The sequence below is a fragment of the Homo sapiens genome, chromosome X (assembly GCF_000001405.40).
Source record: "Homo sapiens chromosome X, GRCh38.p14 Primary Assembly".
NCBI lineage: Eukaryota > Metazoa > Chordata > Mammalia > Primates > Hominidae > Homo > Homo sapiens.
The window spans coordinates 136,828,843-136,831,041 of NC_000023.11; positions in this window are offsets into that span (position 1 = coordinate 136,828,843).

Consider the following 2,199-nt stretch of genomic DNA (forward strand, 5'->3'; position numbering starts at 1 on the left):
GTTACCTGAATATGTGTCCCTTCACCTGAAAACTGGGTAAATTAGGAATAAGTAATCCCCCTTGTCTTGGGTTGGCTCCCCAGAAGCAGGCTCTGAGATGAGGATTCAAGTACATGCAGTTAATTTAAGGAAGTGCTCCCAGGAGACCTCAATAAGGAAATGGAGGAAGCAGGACAGGAAAGCGGAAGTAGCTAAGCAAATGTGTAATTTCAGGCAACATCCTATGGAGGGTTGCTTCCACATGATCCCACAGGAGAATGCCAAGTGTAAATTATGTCACAGGGTTTGTCCCTACTCAAGACAGAGGAATTAAACTTTCATACTTTCCCTCAATAACCTTCATTTGGTAAAGACTATCCAGAACTTGCAAGTGGAAAGGGGTGGGGTTGCAAAAATATGAATGTAAATTCTCAGGCATTGTCAGTTCTCTGCACATACAAGCAAAGCAGCTCCTTAAAACAGGCTTCCAAGAGAGCCAGAGAGGCAAAGGTACAGGCCTTTAGAAGTAAATATACACAGCCGGGCGTGGGGGCTCATGCCTGTAATCCCAGTGCTTTGAGAGGCTGAGGCAGCCAGATCACCTGAGGTCAGGAGTTTGAGACCAGCCTGGCCAACACAGAGTGAAACCCTGTCTCTACTAAAAATACAATAATTAGGCAGGCGTGGTGGCGTGTGCCTGTAATCCCAGCTACTTGAGAGGCTGAGGCAGGAGAATCACTTAAATCCGGAAGGCAGAGGTTGCAGTGAGCCGAGATTGTGTCACGGCACTCCAGCCTGGGTGACAAAGCAAGACTTTGTCTAAAAAGAAAAGGAAGTAAATAAACACAAAAGCCAGGGAAGGAGTTCAAGAAATTGTTAAAGGAATCTGAGAGGATCTGGGCAGAACAACAGTAATCAGTACAACCTCCTAACATTTAACAGTAGTTTTTTTTTCTTTTCAACTGTCTTTATACATATTTTACATATCATATAATGCACCCATTTCAAGTGTACAATTCACTGATTTTTAGTAAATTTACCAGGTTGTGTAACTATCATCATAAATCCACTTTAGAATATTTTTATAACCCCAATAAGATCCCATTTATTGTTACTCCTTTTCTCCATCATGAGGACCAAGCAACTACTTTCTTGTCTCTATGGAATCATACCATTTGTAGAATTTTGTGACTGGCTTCTTTCACTTAATGTTTTCAAGGTCCATCTAGGTTGGAGCATGTATCAGCACTTCCTTGCTTGTTATGGCTGAATAATATTTCATTGTTTGAATATACCACATTTTGTTTATCCAGCCCTTAGTTGACGGACATTTGGGTTGTTTCCACTTTTTGGCTATCATGAATAATTCTGCTCTGAAAATTCTTGCACTAGTCTTTGTGTGTACAAGTGCTTTCATTCCCTTTGGGTATACACCTTGAAGAGGAATTACTGGGTCATATGGTAAATTTATATTTAACTTTTTAAGAAATTGCCAAACTGTTTTCCAAAGTGAGTATACCATGTACGTGCCCATCAGGAATTTATGAGGATTACCATTTCTCTGTATCTTTGTCAACAATTCTTTACTGTGTGCTTTTTTATTTCTGCAATTCTAGTGGGTATGCAATGATATCTCATTGTAGTTTTAATTTGCATTTCCATAACTAATGATATTGATCATATTTTCATGTTCAATGTTTTAAAAACAGCTTTCTTGAGGCATAATTTACATACCTTAAAATTCACTGGTGTAATTGCTCAAATCAACAATTTTTAGTAAATTTCCAGGGTTGTATGTACAACCATCACCACAATCTACCACAAAGTTTCCATCAACCAGAGGAGATCCCTAATGTTCATTTGCAGTTAATCTCCACTCCCTTAAGCCTAAGGAACAACTAATCTATTTTCTATCTATACACATTTGTCTGTTCTGGACATTTAATATAATACTGGCCAGGCGTGGTGGCTCATGTCTATAATCCCAGCACTTTGTGAGGCCGAGGAGGGTGGATCACTTGCAGTCAGGAGTTCAAGACCAGCCTGGCCAACATGGTTAAACCCCATCTCTACTAAAAATACAAAAATTAGCCAGGCACGGTGGTGCACACCTGTAGTCTCAGCTACTCGGGTGGCTAAAACACGAGAATCGCTTGAGCTCGGGAAGTGGAGGTTGCAGTGAGCTGAGATTGTGCCACTACACTCCAGCCTAGGTGACAA